The sequence below is a fragment of the Homo sapiens genome, chromosome 12, assembly GCF_000001405.40.
Source record: "Homo sapiens chromosome 12, GRCh38.p14 Primary Assembly".
NCBI lineage: Eukaryota > Metazoa > Chordata > Mammalia > Primates > Hominidae > Homo > Homo sapiens.
In genome coordinates this window covers 109,982,803-110,000,531 of record NC_000012.12, presented here as the reverse complement: position 1 = coordinate 110,000,531, position 17,729 = coordinate 109,982,803, and the positions used below count along the sequence as shown (strand labels likewise).

General features: G+C 44.8%; 2 protein-coding genes across 34 annotated transcripts in view, besides 6 other annotated features; one reads left to right on the top strand and one right to left on the bottom strand.

The window, feature by feature from the left end:
• ANKRD13A (ankyrin repeat domain 13A) overlaps window positions 1–1,319 on the bottom strand; it is a 40,551-nt gene extending 39,232 nt beyond the window's left edge. For 10 of the 11 annotated variants that reach the window (XR_944812.4, XR_007063142.1, XR_007063141.1 and 7 more), the window contains exon 1: window positions 748–1,102. Coding sequence is in view for 7 of the 11 variants with exons in the window: in XM_005253980.4 (XP_005254037.1) it covers window positions 748–843 (96 nt within the window). In the remaining 4 variants the exon portion in view is untranslated. Of the gene's footprint in view, window positions 1–747; window positions 1,103–1,212 lie in introns of those variants that run through there. The other variant, XM_005253984.2, reaches the window with a different exon arrangement.
• GIT2 (GIT ArfGAP 2) overlaps window positions 368–17,729 on the top strand; it is a 70,361-nt gene continuing 52,999 nt past the window's right edge. For 21 of the 23 annotated variants that reach the window (XM_047429925.1, NM_001330153.2, XM_017020258.3 and 18 more), the window contains exons 1-6: window positions 4,164–4,359; window positions 8,772–8,905; window positions 10,730–10,842; window positions 11,464–11,569; window positions 16,838–16,924; window positions 17,029–17,159. In XM_047429925.1, coding sequence (XP_047285881.1) covers window positions 4,308–4,359; window positions 8,772–8,905; window positions 10,730–10,842; window positions 11,464–11,569; window positions 16,838–16,924; window positions 17,029–17,159 — 623 coding nt within the window. In that variant the 5' untranslated portion in view covers window positions 4,164–4,307. Of the gene's footprint in view, window positions 581–4,163; window positions 4,360–8,771; window positions 8,906–10,729; window positions 10,843–11,463; window positions 11,570–16,837; window positions 16,925–17,028; window positions 17,160–17,729 lie in introns of those variants that run through there. The other 2 variants (XM_047429924.1, XM_047429926.1) reach the window with 2 other exon arrangements.
• Window positions 889–978: a silencer, noted in NCBI's record as "silent region_4851". NCBI's record gives its function as "represses an Ori minimal core promoter by ATAC-STARR-seq in GM12878 lymphoblastoid cells {active_cell/tissue: GM12878}" and the evidence as "EXISTENCE:reporter gene assay evidence [ECO:0000049][PMID:35858748]".
• Window positions 989–1,108: a silencer, noted in NCBI's record as "silent region_4850". NCBI's record gives its function as "represses an Ori minimal core promoter by ATAC-STARR-seq in GM12878 lymphoblastoid cells {active_cell/tissue: GM12878}" and the evidence as "EXISTENCE:reporter gene assay evidence [ECO:0000049][PMID:35858748]".
• Window positions 1,189–1,378: an enhancer, noted in NCBI's record as "active region_6989". NCBI's record gives its function as "activates an Ori minimal core promoter by ATAC-STARR-seq in GM12878 lymphoblastoid cells {active_cell/tissue: GM12878}" and the evidence as "EXISTENCE:reporter gene assay evidence [ECO:0000049][PMID:35858748]".
• Window positions 3,994–4,153: an enhancer, noted in NCBI's record as "active region_6988". NCBI's record gives its function as "activates an Ori minimal core promoter by ATAC-STARR-seq in GM12878 lymphoblastoid cells {active_cell/tissue: GM12878}" and the evidence as "EXISTENCE:reporter gene assay evidence [ECO:0000049][PMID:35858748]".
• Window positions 4,424–4,513: a silencer, noted in NCBI's record as "silent region_4849". NCBI's record gives its function as "represses an Ori minimal core promoter by ATAC-STARR-seq in GM12878 lymphoblastoid cells {active_cell/tissue: GM12878}" and the evidence as "EXISTENCE:reporter gene assay evidence [ECO:0000049][PMID:35858748]".
• Window positions 4,844–4,893: an enhancer, noted in NCBI's record as "active region_6987". NCBI's record gives its function as "activates an Ori minimal core promoter by ATAC-STARR-seq in GM12878 lymphoblastoid cells {active_cell/tissue: GM12878}" and the evidence as "EXISTENCE:reporter gene assay evidence [ECO:0000049][PMID:35858748]".

Below are 17,729 nucleotides of genomic sequence, written 5' to 3'. Positions count from 1 at the left end.
ACTGAGAGCACTACTGCTTTAAAGAGATAGCAATAATGAAAAGATTAAAGCATCAAAGCACTTTAGAACAGGAAGGGATTTTAAGGAGCCTGAGAACCCGTGATTCTCAAACTTTGCTAGGTATCAGCCTCCCTGGGGAGTTTGTTAAAAATGCGGCACCTGGACCTCACCCCAGACCTATCAATAGAGTCAAGTGTTGGGTTCTGCCCCAGCACCAACATCCTCATTCTACAGCTAAGTTAACGTCGGCCAGAGAGGGAAAATGCCTTGCCCAAGGTCACAGGGCGAGTTAGAACCTGGACTCCAAAACCAACCAAGCCCTTCCTTACAACAAGGAGAGTGTGCTATTCTTACGTCTTTGAGGCAGCAGAACCTAAAAATGGTTAAGACGGTGCATTCCGGAGCCAGCCGGCCCGAGTTAAAATCCCGACTTGGCATTTATCAGCGGGGCGGCCTCGCACAAGGCACGTAGCGTCTGAGGACCTGTTTCCTTCTCTGTCCAGTGGAAAAGTAACAGTACCTACCCACCAGCGTTATTGGAAAGGTGAAGAGAGAAGATATTTAAAAAGCCCGTCGCACGGTAAGCACTCGATACGTGTCCTATTATTAGGACTGTCCCACACCTGCAAAGTGGAAGGGGTCTGGGGATCCCGGGGACAGAGGGCTGGAAATGGGCTCAGGGAGGCGAAACGACCCCCGATTCCCCGAAGTCCCCACCGGGAGACGGACCCCCGCCCCGCCCCTCACCTGGCCCTGCAGCTCCTTCTCGAGCTGCCGGTAGTCGTTTTTCCAGACTAGGAGGTGCAGGGGGTAGTGGTCGCCCGCGTCGCAGGCCGAGGACATGGCGAGGAGGCCGTAACCTGGTCCTCGTCGCCCGCCCCAAGTCTCGGCCCCGGCGGGGTCTCCCGCGCCCGCCTGCCTGCCCTGAGGCCGGCGAGCAAGCGAGCGTAGGGCGTGTTACGCTGCCGGCCGGCTGAGCCGGTCGGGTGCGGGGCGCGCGGGAGGTCCGGGGTCGCCGGCCGGCTCAGGGACCAGGTCGGCCGCGCCCACCCCGCGCCCCGCGGCGTTCCCGCCCGCGCTGACAGCTCGCGGACAGACTTCTGCGGACCTAACTGCCCCAAACAGGGAAGTGCGGAGAGCGAACCACCGCATGCCGCGGCGGGGATAGGCGACCTTGGGCACCGGGTCCGGGGTCCGCGCCATTGCACCCACCTCCAGCTCACACCGAGAAACTCAGTGCAGCCCACAGAACAGAGCTGAGGCTCATTCTCTTGGCCAAAGATCTCCACGCGGAAAGTTCCGTCTACCTGTCCCCAGCTTCTTTCCCCCTGCTCCAGTAGCCCCATGTGGTTCGGTCCACAACTGGGCCTCTTCCATTGGCTCTGAAGTCAGGGGGTGACAACTGAGCCCCGGACCAAACCATTCCAGCTGCCGACACCCTTGCAGCCTTTTTGGAGCAGGACAGATGCTTCCACGACGGGTCAAAAGCCATTTTGGAAGTGGGCAACACCGGACAATTTTTGAAGGAGGAACGCTAAACCCTGGCGAAGTGGCTTCAAATACAGTATTTGCATAAAAGGGGATATTTCTACTTCATGATTTCTCAACCTCGGCACATATTGAACTGGGCAGTTTTTGTGTGGGGGTTGTCCGGTCCTTGTAGGATGCTGAGCAGTTGCCCTGGTCTTTCTCCCCACTCAATGCCAGTAGCACTCCCCAAAACATGTCTCTCCAGATATTGCCAAATGTCGTCTCGGGGAGAAAAATCGTCCTCAGTTGAGAACCGCTTCTATTTGAACTCCGAACCGGGTTATGATTCAATAGCTAACTATGGTGGTGATTTAGTCCATGTATGAATGTCATTTTTAAGCTAGCTTTTTGGATTTGAGGTTATGGCTGAAAGGACTGATAAATAATATACATATTTGACCACAGTCTGCGAATATGAAGTTTATTCTTTGAGTTTCAGGCACTATGCCTCCTTGACTCAATGAAGAACCAAATCAACTTACAGCTAGCTACTCATGGGCTTGAACTTTCTGCTGCTGCTTCAGCTCAGCTGTCTACAACTAGACCACATAGCTGGATGAAGCTATTTAATGCATTGTGAAAACATTCCCTCTGCCCTCTGAGTGTATGCACATCCAGCTCTTCAGATGCCTGCAACAACAGCTGTTCAAGAATCCCAACCTAATCCATTCTCCACAGATGTGGAGCCCAGAAGATTTGTGAGTTGTTAAACCAAAACAGGATGCAGGAGCACCAGGATGGCACCCGGAGACTCTAACCATGGAATGCGTGGGAATTCTGTGATTATTTCTCCATCACACATTTATCACACTGTAGAGATGGACTCAAGACCAGTGCTTCTGAGGCCTTTTCCAGCACTTCTCATTCTTTCAGATGCCTTTTGCAACTTAACGTTCTCCTTCTTCTTCATCATGCCGTGTTTATTGAAAATCTCCCTATCTCATTAATCAGAAAACCCCATAATGACAGGAACCACATCGTTTTGCTTACCAGAGTATCTAAAACCAAAATAGTACCTGGCTAACAACAGGCATTCAATATTTGCTGAATGGAGATCATAGCTGTGTTTATATGTAAGACAGACAATAAGTAGTCATTGGTATTAGGGTCACATCTCCTTTCTCCTTCACACTGATTTACCTCATTTCATTGTGTTTATCTCACACCATTTTGTAAATTATCCCATGTTAGCTATTGTTATTCTCAAATTCCACGCATATGAAGAAAAACAGTAATTAGAAAATAATAGCAATATCCATAATTATGGGAGCTACTATTTACTGAGGGGTTACTATCCAGCAGGTGTATCACATTTTTCCCATAATTTATTCCATCTGTCCTTAGCCAAAATGAATGTTTAACTTTGCTGGTCACATACAAGTTTTGTCGCATATTCTTCTTCCTCTTTTTCTTTATTTCCCTCTCTCTCTTCTTCATTTTCATCTCGCAACCCTTTAAAAATGTAAAAATCATTCTTAAGTAGCAAGCCATACAAAAACAAATCGTGGACTAGAAGTAAACAATGCATTATCTTAATTTTGAACATGAGATTAAAACTGAAGCCTAAGGAATCATCTAATATATTCTTTTTTGTTATTTTTGTTGTTGTTGTTGAAGTTGTTTTTGAGACAGTCTCGCTCTGTCCCCCAGGCTGGAGTGCAGTGACGCGATCTCTGCTCACTGCAACGTCCACCTCCCAGGCTCAAGCGATTCTCATGCCTCAGCCTCCTGAGTATCTAGGATTACAGGCATGCGCCACCACGCCCGGCTAATTTTTTTTTTTTTTTTTTTTTTTTTGAGACGGAGTCTCACTCTGTCGCCCATGCTGGAGTGCAATGGCGTGATCTCAGCTCACTGCAACCTCCACCCCCTGGGTTCAAGCTCCTGCCTCAGCCTCCCAAGTAACTGAGATTACAGGCTCCTGCCACTGTGCCCGGCTAATTTTTGTATTTTTAGTAGAGACGGGGTTTCACCATGTTGGCCAGGCTGGTCTTGAACTCCTGACCTCGTGATCCACCCGCCTCGGCCTCCCAAAGTGCTGGGATTACAGGCGTGAGCCACCGCGCCCGGCCAATTTTTGTATTTTTAGTAGAGATGGGGTTTCACCATGTTGCCCAGGCTGGTCTCGAACTCCTGCCTCAAGTGATCCTCCTGCCTCAGCCTTCCAAAGAGTTGAGATTACAAGAGTGAGCCACCACGCCCAGCCTGGAATCATATAATATATTCTTATTTTACTTTACCCCAGTAAAATGCAAGCTTCATAAGGACTAGAAATTCAGTCTTTGCTCACTGCTGTTTCTCCAGTGGCTGGGACAGTATATAAAGCATGGTAAGTGCTTGATAAACATTTGTTGAATCAAGGAATGAATGAATGAACTTGACCATTGATTGCCTCAGGAAGGTTGTGGCTGCAGGGTTCTCATCACAAGATATTGCTACTTCCCCTGGTATTAATCAGTTGGGACGAGGGGAATCTCTGCCAGAGAAGAAGACCCAAATTCAATATTTAAAGGTAGGACAGATGATACTCGGGCAGTCTCCTGCCCTCACTCAAGATGGCGACAAGGCAGAGTGCCCTTTCCGGTCACATGACCTGACACTCGCCGAAGGGCACCTCCCCGCGCGTGCGTGCTGTGCCAAGGCTGCAAGGCGCTGAGGGGAGAGGCGCCGCCGTCAGCGCCGCCGCAGCTGGGACCCGTTAGAGCGGAAGCGCCGCCGCCACCGCCGCCTTTGCTGTCCCCCGGCCTCTAGTTCCCCGCAGGTGGGAGGTGGGAGCCATGTCGAAACGGCTCCGGAGCAGCGAGGTGTGCGCTGACTGCAGCGGGCCGGGTGAGTCGCACCGGCCGGGCCCGCTCCCCTCTGCTTTCCTGGCCCGGACCCCTACCCCGGGGCCGCCCCCTCAGGTCAGGCTGCATCCCGCGGCTAGGGTCGCAACGAAGAGGTCCCTGGGCGGCCTTGGGGTGGGAACCGTCCCGGGCCTGTCAGAGCCGGGCGGGCAGGGGGCCGCCGCCCTCCCCGTCCCTCGCGGCCCTCCCTTCCCTCTCGTTCCCTCCCGTTCCCTCCGTCCTAGGCCAACTGGGGAGGTGACGGGGGCCAGGGCTGCTCCCCCAACAGGAAGGGGCTTGGGCAATCCACAGGAAAGCCAATTACAGAAGTAAAATGTGAGCGTCCTCCCGGCTGCAGCCTCCAGAGGCTGCAGGTGTCACCTCCCACTAGACCCTTTCTCCGCCTGGGTGTCCTGCCCGGGGAGGATGACACTCCCTGAGACTCGCCAGAGGGTCCCCGTAGATGACTTCCCCGCTGCTGACATCCGACAGCTACTCTGCCCGGGAGAATTGCCAGGAGATCGGGGTCTTCCAAACACAACCAGCACTTAGGAGGCAGTGCTTGTCTCAAGTTTGAGGATCTGAACGGCCTGGGTTCAAACTAGATTTTGCTTCTGGCTGACCTTGGGCTGGTGACTTCACTTGGTCACTTGCTTGATTTCCTCATTTTTTTCAATGAGGATAATCGGGAGTATCACGCTTAGTGGTGAGGAAGATTCAATGAATACTCGTAGAATCATATCATCTAAGGCTTTTCTTTTTTGCATTATGCTGTCTACAGTAGAACTCTTGTAGTCCCTTAAAGCTATATTTGACTATCTAAATCATACGTTGATTACAACGGAAACAAACGCAAAATCACCAGCAATATAGGGGCATTGAAACGCTAAAGCCATTCCTTCATAATGATGCATAACTGTTCATACATAATATTCACATTTAGAGATCAAGTGTGTCTTAGCAATTGCAACTGAATTGTCAGGTCTCTGGATAGATTATTACATGCTGTTTTAGGTGCTTGGATGTATTGGCTTTGAGTTAATTCGAAGGTAACATGGCTTTCTTGGCACAATAGTGTCCGATAAACAATCTTAATTAAATCATTGAACACCACTGGCTTTGCAACTGTTCTGATCTTAAGCTTGTCATTTGGAAGTGGAGACCAATTGTAAATAGAACTGTGATAACTCAAACCTCATGTGGTTGTTTTATGGCCCGTACAGTGCAGGTGTTACCAGTTTCCTTTGAAGATAGGGAGGGGGTATGGAGGAGTTTAAAAAGAAGTGTTTTCTAAACCAAGTTAGTGTGAGTTATACAAACTCCATCATTTTCTCTAAAAATGTTATTTGTTCCACTTCCTTATTTTCTTGCCTATTTTCAGTTGAACTTACCGTGATGTATTTGATTCACATGTGTCTAGCTTCTAACTTCCTCTTGGAATGCATATTGTTTTGCTTCTTGATAGGGTACAGGGCAAAGCAAAATTGTTCCTCCATTGCCATCCTAAATATACTTTTGCAGCATTTTGTGCATTTCAGAACATTTTCTCTTCCATTGTATCGCTTTAGTTGTTGTCTCATACGCCTAATCTGCAGAGACTTGAGTCACTTCCTTCCTGTTTTGAATATAATTAGGCTACCTTGAAATATTCTGTGAAATTGAGCAGCTGGGAATTTGTGCTGCCTTTTCTGCACAGCCCTACTGAGAGAATTACCTGTAGGGTTAGGGACCCCTTTGAGATTCTGTTGAATGCTAAGGCCTTCTCCCCTAAAATGCACGTGAACGAATTTACCTAAGATTTGTCTGGGGGAGTCACAAACATTTTTGAAGTTCATTTGTGGTGTCCCTGGAGCCCTGGCTCCAGATGAACTTAAAGGGTTTTACCCAATCTCATTCATACAAACATTTTTATTTTACTATGTTAACATTCTAATATTCTTTCCATGGGATTCTGATCCAGGATGCTAAAGTGGTTAGTCGAATACTTGTCTTAATTAATATGTGTTAAATACTTGCTAAAAAAAGAATACTGCAAATCCTCTGAATAAGTGAAAACCAAAGCTATGCTTCAAAACAGTCTTTTTTTTTTTTTTTTTTTTTTGCCATTAGTGTCAGTACTATACTGCAGGAAGCAGTGTTGTTAATGCATCTTTGTAGAGCTCCTTCATCTGGACATTTCCAATCTCTGCTTTTTAGGATGATACAGTAATAGCGACAGAGTTATACTAAATTGAATTATTTTGATTCTGTTTTATTTTATGCAAACATTTAACCATGATCACATCTTCTTAAATATTCTACTTTTTTTTTTTTAATGAATCTGGTTCATTTCAAATACATCACACTCTGAGTTCAATTACTTGAAAACTCCATGGAGATTTTCAGTACAGTAGTAGAGTGGTCACATGAAATGTTCAATGTTTTAAGTATTTCCCATCAAAAACTTTGTCCAGTGATCATGAATTTCACGTCTAGAAAATATCTGAATACTGAGAAAATAATTTAGAAAAGATATAACAACTAACATTACTACTTTACTATGTGTGAGGTACTTCACTTATTCTCTATATCCTTACTATCCCGAGATTTGTCATTGTTCTCATTTGAACCATGGTGAAAACACTCAAGTAACTTGTCTGAGATCATTGTGCAAGAAGTGGCAGAGTTGGGGTTCAAACCCTGAACTCCTTGTCTCTAGAGCCAACCCTCTTAACCACCATACTCACTGGCTCCCAGGATTCGTCTTTGATTGAAAGCCCATAACTTTTCATTATATGGTTTGAAAGGGTTTGAATAAACTCTTAAAAAATGGTAAAGATGGTGTACATGCATTTTAGAGATTTTTGTGGACATTGAAGAATTTTTAAATGTAACCCTTTGACCAGGCAGCTTAAGTGGCACCTATTGTCACCCCATTGTGAGTCTGACGAAGTATAGCTCTTTCTTTATTTGAGGTTTCTAGGTATTCAGTTTACTTACCCAGATCCATCCTGCTTGCCAAGTATGAAATTATTCCTTGTTTCAAAGGACAGCTAATGAAGCTCTATGACTTTAAAGGGAAAAAAGTATTATACACACACTAAAAATATTATTCATTTTTATTTTACATCTTTGCCTCTGTGAAGCTGCTGTTATTGCAACTTCTTTTTTTTTTTTCAGATCAGTTGCAGGATTGGACTTGGTAGTTTATGTAAAACAATTAATTGGCTGGGCACAGTGGCTCAAGCCTGTAATCCCAGCACTTTAGGAGGTCGAGGTGAGTGGATCACCTGAGGTCAGGAGTTTGAGACCAGTCTGGCCAACATGGTGAAACCTCGTCTGTACTAAAAATAACAAAAATTAGCCGAGCTGGTGGCACACACATGTAATTCCAGCTACTCGGGAGGCTGAGGCAGGAGAATCGCTTGAACCCTGGAGGCAGAAGTTGCAGTGAGCCGAGATTGCGCCACTGCACTCCATCCTAGGGGACAGAGTGAGACTCTGTCTCAAAACAAACAAACAGACAAACAAACCAATTCATGGACATCATAGAACATTTCCTAATGGAAGAGGCCAGGTTTCCCTGTCCTCAGAACCATAGCAGCTGAGTGATTTTATGATTCTGTAACTCGCAGCTTTCTGCTAAGCATATTGACATGTTGATTCATAGCAGTGAATTAGGACAGCAGTCTACAACATTTACTGCAGAAAATGCTATCTGCATAATTCACTGTCAAAATTATATTATCTTGGCCGGGCACAGTGGCTCACGCCTGTAATCTCAGCACTTTGGGAGGCCGAGGTGGGCGGATCACCTGAGGTCAGGAGTTTGAGACCAACCTGACCAACATGATGAATCCCCGTCTCAGCTAAAAATACAAAAATTAGCCGGGCGTGGTGGTGCATGCCTGTAATCCCAGCTACTCGGGAGGCTGAAGCAGGAGAATTGCTTGAATCTGGGAGATAGAGGTTGCAGTGAGCCAAGATTGTGCCTCTGTACTCCAGCCTGGGTGACAGAGTGAGACTCCATCTCAAAAAAAAAAAAAAAAAAAAAAAAGTATTATCTTGATTTTTATGGAGATGGATCCAAAATCATTCGTCTGTACCCTCTCAATTTGCTTTCTTAGCTTGAATGAAAAAGCATGCATCTGAAATGGTAGATCCACATTAGGGCTACAAACTGTGGCCCTGAACCAGAAAGAAGATAACTGTTTACCCAAGGCTCCCACTGGTGTTTTTAGTCTCAATTAACATTGTACCTAATCAGCCAAGGTAGGTCATACCATCCAACAAGATGACCAGCCTGATGCATTGATGAGCATACTGAAACAAAAATGTCTCCTTTTTCTGACAAACCAAACTTCAGTCATCTTTTGCCATCTGGCGGTATAGCAACCTGCTGGTATCCCTGCCACTGAGATTTCACTCTCTTTCCAGATCCTTCCTGGGCATCAGTAAATAGGGGAACGTTTTTATGTGATGAGTGCTGCAGTGTCCATCGGAGTCTAGGGCGCCATATCTCCCAAGTGAGGCATCTGAAACACACACCGTGGCCTCCAACACTGCTTCAGGTAAAGGATAAGAATTCTCCTGACAGTTGGTAATTTACATTTTAGGGCTCATCATGTTAATAACTTAAATTTCTCCTGGTGTACTTCTTCCATAAGACAAAACTGTTTCATAATTGAATAGAGATGGCATGCCCATCAATGCTATTTACAAATATTATCTGTATTGAATTCAGTAAAGACTTTTCTTCCTACTTGACATAAATCTTGTTCAACAAGCTCAATTATAGGTAGATAGATGAATAGTCATTAAAATATCTTGGTACTGTTGCTCTGTTGACTTTCTAGACTGTCATCGGAAATGTTTTTTTTTTTTTTTTGAGACGGACTCTCACTCTGTCATCCAGGCTGGAGTGCAGTGGCGTGATCTCAGCTCACTGTAACCTCCGCCTCCCGGGTTCAAGCAATTCTCCTGCCTCAGCCTCCCAAGTAGCTGGGATTACAGGCACCCGCCATCATGCCCGGCTAATTTTTGTATTTTTAGTAGAGAAGGGGTTTCACCATGTTGGCCAGGCTGGTCTCGAACTCCTGAACTCAAGTGATCCACACCTCAACCTCTCTCGAAGTGCTGGGATTGCAGGCGTGAGCCACCGCGCCCGGCCAGTAGTCCATCTTTTCTATGCATGATAATGAATGTTTCTGAAGGCTACTGCCTGAGAATCTTTTCTTTAATGTACTTATTCCTGAGTACCTGCTAATATTTTTAGAACATGTTTTTCTGCTTTGATAGCAGCATGGGCTGGGATTCCTCAGAAACTTCTGAAACATTTTAAGTTTTCTTAAAGCTCTTGTTACTAGTCAGAGAGACCAAATTAAATTAATATGTTTTGATTGCATGTAGAATACCCTGTTAAATGAGTTCTTTGTTTTATCTGGAGTCCAATGTCATGTCACCTTTACTTCTATCTTGGGGTACACATTCTTCAAGTTCTCTTGGAACTCAAGGTTAAGTGTGTGTTTTGCCTTCATTTGTCTTGATTACACATTTCACTGAATCTGTGACAGCTGCACATATCCCTTAAACTTGGCTGTGTGAACCAAGGAGCCAAAACAAGTGGGTTTGTATCTCTGATGTGAAAATAACTACACTGCTGTAAAAAACAGATGGGGCTGTTTTAGGAGTCATGCCTTGAAATGAAATTTGGAGATATGATTTATTACTAACTTTTGCTTAGAAGTTTCTAACCGCTCACGCTCATGTGAAAGGGGCTGTTTACTGCTCTCAGGTCTGTCTGTGTTTGCAAAGCCAGATTGTAGTACAGAGTCTCAGTAAAGTCCAGAGATGAGTTGTTTAGAATGCCAGGGTTGACCCTAAAGCAACAATTCCCCAAATGTGGAACCACCAGTGGTATTCAAGACAGATGTAGGTAATACATGTTTTTTTTAATGGTTACATTATTTTACTGTGTATGGGAAAGCTATAACTAGCACATCAAACTGTAGTTGTTTTTACAAGTAAGTGGCTTTAAAGACAAATATTAAGTGAATAATATAGACAGTACATGGGTCATTAAGAATGTTGAAAATAGTGTTTAATTAGGTTTGGGAAACCCTGCTCTAAGGTGTCAGAGTACTTTTTTTTCTTTCATACAGAATAAGAACAGTTCAGTCACACTTTAGGTATTTAACTATCCTACTAGTCAAAGCTGAATCCTGCATATAGATTGATCATCTTTCTCATTCTCAAATCAGAAAACAATGATATGAATGATATTCCTAACAAATGAGTGTTTATAACAGGACTTTGTTTACTCTGTTCAGTCACTGATCCCCATTGAATATTTGTGAAAAGAAATTAAAGTCTTATGTCATCCTGCTTGGTTTTAGATGGTTGAGACCTTGTATAATAACGGTGCTAACTCTATATGGGAGCATTCTTTGCTGGACCCTGCGTCTATTATGAGTGGAAGACGTAAAGCTAATCCACAGGATAAAGTACAGTGAGTGGAATGTTTATAAATACTTTTATTTCTTCATAACAAATGGGGCCCACTGAAAGGAGTGCAGCTATTTTTGGTCAGTCTCCGCAAGGGCAGCAGAGGAGGGGGTTACCCTAGTTGTGCATCAGGTTCTTTGCTATTAGAAATGCAGAATGGGGTGGGGCAGGACCATCTGTTTAGCATGGCCACCCAGCAGGAGTAAGTGGCTTCCTCAGTTGGAAACCATGGCTTGGAGTCTGTAAATGTAATCAGATTTAAACTTATACTCAAATAAGAGGCGATCAGACCAGAAATCTAGGTCTGGGCACCCGTCTGCCTGTTGCCTCACTTATAAGATGGGACTAAATGCTGCTTTCTCCCAAAGTTGCTAAATCAGTTCAGACAATTACACAGAGAAGAGGGCTACTATAAAAAGCAGGTACTCTGGAGTCCCAGCCATTATAATAACTAATGTATGTTTTCAAACTGCAGGTCTTAAACCTTGCTGAAACTTACTTGAGCATTGTTCATTTTATTCTCAAGTGGGGGATGTGGGTCACTTCCTCTTCTTTTTACAGTACAAAGAATGGGGATTGTTGTATCTGAACGAGTGAACTGTTTTCTTTTTTGTTTTTGAACCAGTCCCAATAAAGCGGAATTCATCAGAGCCAAGTATCAGATGTTAGCGTTCGTCCATCGCTTGCCCTGCCGGGATGACGATAGTGTGACTGCCAAAGATCTTAGCAAGGTGGGTCACACCTTTTAAAATCCCTAAAAGAGCGGGCTGAGACAGCATATTGTTTTATTTGAAAAAACGAAAAAAAAGTCTGGTTGTGGGCTTTTTTTTTTTTTTTTTTTTTTTGAGACAGAGTCTCTGTTACCCAGGCGGGAGTACAGTGGCGCGATCTTGGCTCCCTGCAGCCTCTGCCTCCCGGGTTCCAGCGATTCTCCTGCCTCAGCCTCCTAGGTAGCTGGGATTACAGGCGCATGCCACCATGCCCAGCTAATTTTTGTATTTTTAGTAGAGACGGGGTTTCACCATGTTGGCCAGGCTGGTTTCGAACTCCTGAGCTCAGGTGATCCGTCTGCCTCGGCCTCCTAGTGTTGGGATTGCAAGCGTGAGCCACTGCACCCGGCCAGGGTTTTTTTGTTTTTCGTTTGTTTTTTTTGAGACAGGGTCTTGCTCTGTTGCCCAGGCTGGAGTGCAGTGGTGCAATCACGGTTCACTGCAGCCTTGACCATCCAGGCTCTAGCAATCCTTCCACCTCAGCCTCCCGAGTAGCTGGAACTACAGGCGCATTACCATACCCAGCTAATATTTTTTATTTTTTGTAGAGACGGGTTCTTGCTATGTTGCCCAGGCTGAAAAAAGTTTTTAAAGAAAGAAAAACAAAAACTCATTTCTGCACATTCATTAATTAATAGCTTTTTTGTCAGTCGGTTTCGTCTTTAATCTGAATTCAAATGGCAGCCATTCATATAGTGGAGGTTCAGGGCAAAGAGGAAAAGTAAGTCTCTGGAAGGCTGTTTGTGTTTTTCCAATATGGCTTTTAAATTATATTTTGATAAGTTTTTTGTTTGTTTAACTTTGAAATAGGAACCATCTCAGAGTTGTTTCTAGAAGGGACTAGAAAGATTATAGGACAATTGTTTCTTTTTAATAAGGACTAGAAAAAGTACTAAAGGAAGGGGACTTCTTCAGGTTTCCAGGTTGAACAGTAAGTATGATCTTCAGAAAGCAATGTGTGACTCAAAGCTATAGTACACAGAATGGTTTATGATACTTGTAAAACGAGTGAGGTGGTTTTCTTTATGTGGGCCTTCGCATGTTTTTGAGAGATGCTGTAAGAAATGTGCATATTTTCAAAGCGCTGCCTTGGATAAATGCTTACTCACACAGAGCATGAGAACTTACTTATTCAGAACTTTTTTTATTACTTTTTGGCCGGGTGCGATGGCTCACTCCTGTAATCCCAGCACTTTGGGAGACTGAGACTGGCAGATCACTTGGGCTCAGAAGTTCAAGACCAGCCTGGGCAACATGGCGAAACCCCGTCTCTACAAAGAATATAACAATTTTAGCCGGGTATGGTGGCCGTGCCTGTAGTACCAGCTACCTGGGAGGCTGAGGTTGGAGGATGACTTGAGCCCAGGAGGTGGAGGTTGCAGTGAGCTGAGATTACACCATGGCACTCCAGCTTGGACAACAGAGCAAGACCCTGTCTCAAAAAAAGAAAACATTTTCTGCATCTATTGAGATGATCATGTGGTTTTTGCTTTTGCTTCTATTTATTTATTTATTTATTTATTTATTTTTATTTATTTTTGAGATAGAGTCTTGCTCAGTCGCCCAAGCTGGAGTGCAGTGGTGCGATCTCAGCTCACTGCAAGTTCTGCCTCCCAGGTTCATGCCATTCTCCTGCCTCAGCCTCCCAAGTAGCTGGGACTACAGGTGCCCACCACCACACCCGGCTAATTTTTTTTGTATTTTTAGTAGAGACAGGGTTTCACCATGTTAGCCAGGATGGTCTCGATCTCCTGACCTCGTGATCCTCCCGCCTCGGCCTCCCAAAGTACTGGGATTACAGGCAGGAGCCACCGCGCCTGGCCTGCTTTTACTTCTATTGATGTGGCAAATTACATTTATTGATTTGTGTATGTTGAGCCAGCCTTGAATCTCAGCAAAAAAGCCTACTTGATCATGATGGGTTAATTTTTTTATTTTTATTTTTATTTTTTATTTTTTATTTTTTTGAGACAGAGTCTCGCTCTGTAGTCCAGGCTGTAGTGCAATGGCATGATCTTGGCTCACTACAACCTCCGCCTCCCAGGTTCAAGTGATTCTCCTGCCTCAGCCTCCCAAGTAGCTGGGATTACAGGCACGTGCCACCAGGCCCAGCTAATCTTTTGGTTTTTTTTTGTTTGTTTGTTTGTTTGTTTGTTTTTGAGACGGAGTCTTGCTCTGTGGCCCAGGCTGGAGTGCAGTGGCGCAATCTTGGCTCACTTCAAGCTCCGCCTCCCGGGTTCATGCCATTCTCCTGCCTCAGCCTCCTGAGTAGCTGGGACTACAGGCGTCCGCCACCACACCCGGCTAATTTTTTTGTATTTTTAGTAGAGACGAGGTTTTACTGTGTTAACCAGGATGGTCCCGATTTCCTGACCTCGTGATCCGCCCACCTCGGCCTCCCAAAGTGCTGGGATTACAGGCGTAAGCCACCACGCCCGGCCATTTTTTGTATCTTTAGTAGAGACGGGGTTTCACCACGTTGGCCAGGCTGGTCTCGAACTCCTAACCTCATGATCCGCCTGTTTCAGCTTCCCAAAGTGCCGGGACTACAGGCCTGAGCCACTGCGCCCAGCCATGGTGGATTAACTTTTGATGTGCTACTGGATTTGGTTTGCTAATATTTTGTTAAGAGTTTTTTAAAAAATCTGTGTTCATCATGGATTTTGGCCTGAAGTTTTCCTTTTTTGTTGTGTCTTTGCCAGATTTTGGTATCAGGCTGATGTTGGCTTCACAGAATGAGTTAAGGAGGAGTCTCTCCTCTTTGATTGTTTGGAATAATTTTAGTAGGATGTTCTTCTTTGTATGTCTGGTAGAATTCAGCTGTGAATCTCTTGAACTGGGGAGACGAAGGTTGCAGTGAGCTGAGATCATGCCACGGCACTCCAGCCTAAACGACAGAGTCTCACTCTGTTGCCCAGGCTGGAGTGTCGTGGCACAATCATGGCTGACTGCACCCTCAACCTCCCTAGTCTCAAATGATTCTCCCACCTCAGCCTCTCAAGTGGCTGAGATCTCAGGCATGTGCCACCAAGCCTGGCTAGTGTGTGTGTGTGTGTGTTTTGTTTTTGTTTTTTTTAGATAGAGTCTCTGTTACCCAGGCTGGAGTGCAGTGGCACGATCTCGGCTCACTGCAACTTCCACCTCCTGGGTTTAAGCGATTCACCCGCCTCAGCCTCCTGAGTAGCTTGGATTACAGGTGCCCACCACCATGCCCGGCTAATTTTTTTTGTATTTTTAGTAGAGACAGGGTTTCACCATGTTGGCCAGGCTGGTCTTGAACTCCTGACCTCAAGTGATCTGCCTGCCTCGGCCTCCCAAAGTACTGGGATTACAGGCATGAGCCACCGCGCCTGGCCAGTTTTTGACTTTTTGGAGAGATGGGGTTTCACCATGTTGTCCATACTGGTCTCAAATTCTTGGGCTTAAGCAGTCTGCCTGCCTTGGCCTCCCAAAGTGCTGGGATTACAGGCGTGAGCCACCACATCTGGCCTTTTTTCCCCCCCCTTTTTTAATCCCCAGCAGAATCTGGCTGAAGAATTCAGAATTTGAAATTTTGCATAGAAATGCATATACTAGCTACTTCCATTGATTAATAAGACTTGGTATGTGTTGGGTTTTTTGTTTTTTGTTTTTTTTTCCTTGCCAGAGTTTTAAAAAATTAGGCACAGTGGCACATCCCTGTAATACTAGCTACTTGGGAGGCTGAGGTGGAAGGGTTGCTTGAGCCAAGGAGTTCAGTCCTGCCTGGGCAACATAACGAGACCCTGTGTTTAAAAAACAAAAAAACTATTTAAAAAATTAAACTTAGATGTTAGAGTAGATTTCTTCATTCCTGTGATAAGGGTTACTGCATCTTGGACAATTCTAGGTTAGATTTGAAGGAAGGCAGCTCATCTTCTGACTGTATAAGAGCTTTTCTGCAGTAGTACAGAATTCGGTATATCACGGGCCTTTTCCTACCCTGAAAGACTTTATTAAAGCATATTATACAGGCCAAGAATAATGTGGTAGAGAGGGTATTGTATAAGGCAGGATCCTGTAGCTTACACAGTGTAGAATTTGAAGTCCTAAAGCCCTAATTACAGTAACAACTAATAATAATAACTGTTATTATAGCATTTGTATTCTTTGAGCACTTTATTATATCACTAAATCCTTATAATAACCCTGTGAATAGGGCCAGGCACGGTAGCTCATGCCTGTAATCCCAACACTTTGGGAGGCCGAGGTGGGAGGATCACTTCAGCTCGTAAGTTCGAGATCAGCCTGGGCAACATAGTGAGACCTCATCTGTATTGAAAAATAAAAAGTTAGCAGGGCATGGTGGCCGGCGCCTGTAGTCCCAGCTGTTTGGGAGGCTGAGGTGGAAGGATTGCTTGAGCCCAGGATACTGAGGCTGCAGTGAGCCATGATCACTCCACTGCACTCCAGCCTGGATGACAGAGCAAGCGAGACCCTTTCTAAAAAGAAAAATGCCACCTTTTAAAATTTTTTTTATTTTTTATTTTTTTTGAGACAGGGTCTCGCTCTGTCACCAAGGCTGGAGTGCAGTGGCATGATCACAGCTCACTGCAGCCTCCACTGCCCAGGCTCAGGTGATCTTCCCACCTCAGCCTCCTTAGTAGCTGGGACTACAGGTGCGCATGCCACCACACCCAACTAATTTTTGTATTTTTTGTAGAGCCAGAGTCTTGCTATGTGGCCCAGGCTGGTCTCAAACCCCTGGGCTCAAGTGATCCTCCAACCTCAGCCCCCCAAAGTGCTGGGATTACAGGCATGAGCCACTGCATCTGGCCATTGTTGACATTTTTGAGATGAGGAAAGTGAGGTTCAGATTGCTTAAAGCCCTTTCTCCAGGCCACACAGCTTGAAGTGGGTATAGTTTGAAATTCAGGTCTGTCGTATGTCAGAGCCACGCATAGTCACCTCTTCACACAGTCCTGCCTCTCACTCAGGTTCTGGTTGTGCCACTTCTTAGATAAGTCATGCATTTGGGCAAGTCAGCCTTCACAGCCCTAGTTTCCTTATCAGTAAAGTGGCCTCACTCCACCTTACAGCCCAGGGACAGTTGTGACTGGCAAAGGAGAGACTGGTCCATGCACTTTACCGAGACAAATAAAGATTATGCGTTACTGATGTAACATATATTAAAATGGTCTATCAGCTGCCCTAGGACATCATTCTTTACACCTCTAACCACGATTCCTTTTTTGTTTCTGCGTTTTTCAGCAACTCCATTCGAGCGTGAGAACAGGGAATCTTGAAACCTGTTTGAGACTGTTATCTTTAGGAGCACAAGCCAACTTCTTTCATCCTGTAAGAAAACATGAATTGCTTCAGATATTGAAACTAAGTGAGTTGTGTTCATGTAGCCTTTATTTAATGTGCTCTTTTGCCTACTTTTTATTAATGATTCTTAGGAAAAAGGAAACACCCCACTCCATGTTGCCTCCAAAGCAGGGCAGATTTTACAGGCTGAATTATTGGCAGTATATGGAGCAGACCCAGGCACACAGGATTCTAGTGGGAAAACTCCCGTTGATTATGCAAGGTAAGAGACCTAGATTCTCGCTACTTCTCTCTGGGATTTTTTTGTTGGGTGTGATTCCTTGTTAAGTAGCTAAGTTGTATATGTTGATATTGAACCCCTTTAAAGATGTACGTTATTTTATTTTACAGATGAAGACATTTCAAATGCATATAAGCTCAGCCTGGCAAAGTTGAGGAAGGCTAGAATCATGAACCAGTGTGCTAAGCTTCCAGTCTTTTACTTGATCCTTTATAACACAGTGATGTTTGAGCTGTAGTCAGATTCCAAATCAAGTATCAAGAATTACAGAATGTACTCTTCTGTTTTTTAATACTCTTAGTTATTTCTTGAACTTAAAAGCAAATATATACATAGATATGTGATTAAACAAGTATAGTAAAAAGTTAATTGTAAGGTTTGGGTAGTAGACATCTAAGTGCTCACTCTAGGCCAGGCATGGTGGCTCACACCTGTAATCCCAGCACTTTGAGGGTCCAAGGCGGGTGGGTTACTTGAGGCCAGAAGTTCGAGATCAGCCTGGCCAGCATGCTGAAACCCTGTCTCTACTAAAAATACAAAAAAAAAAATTGG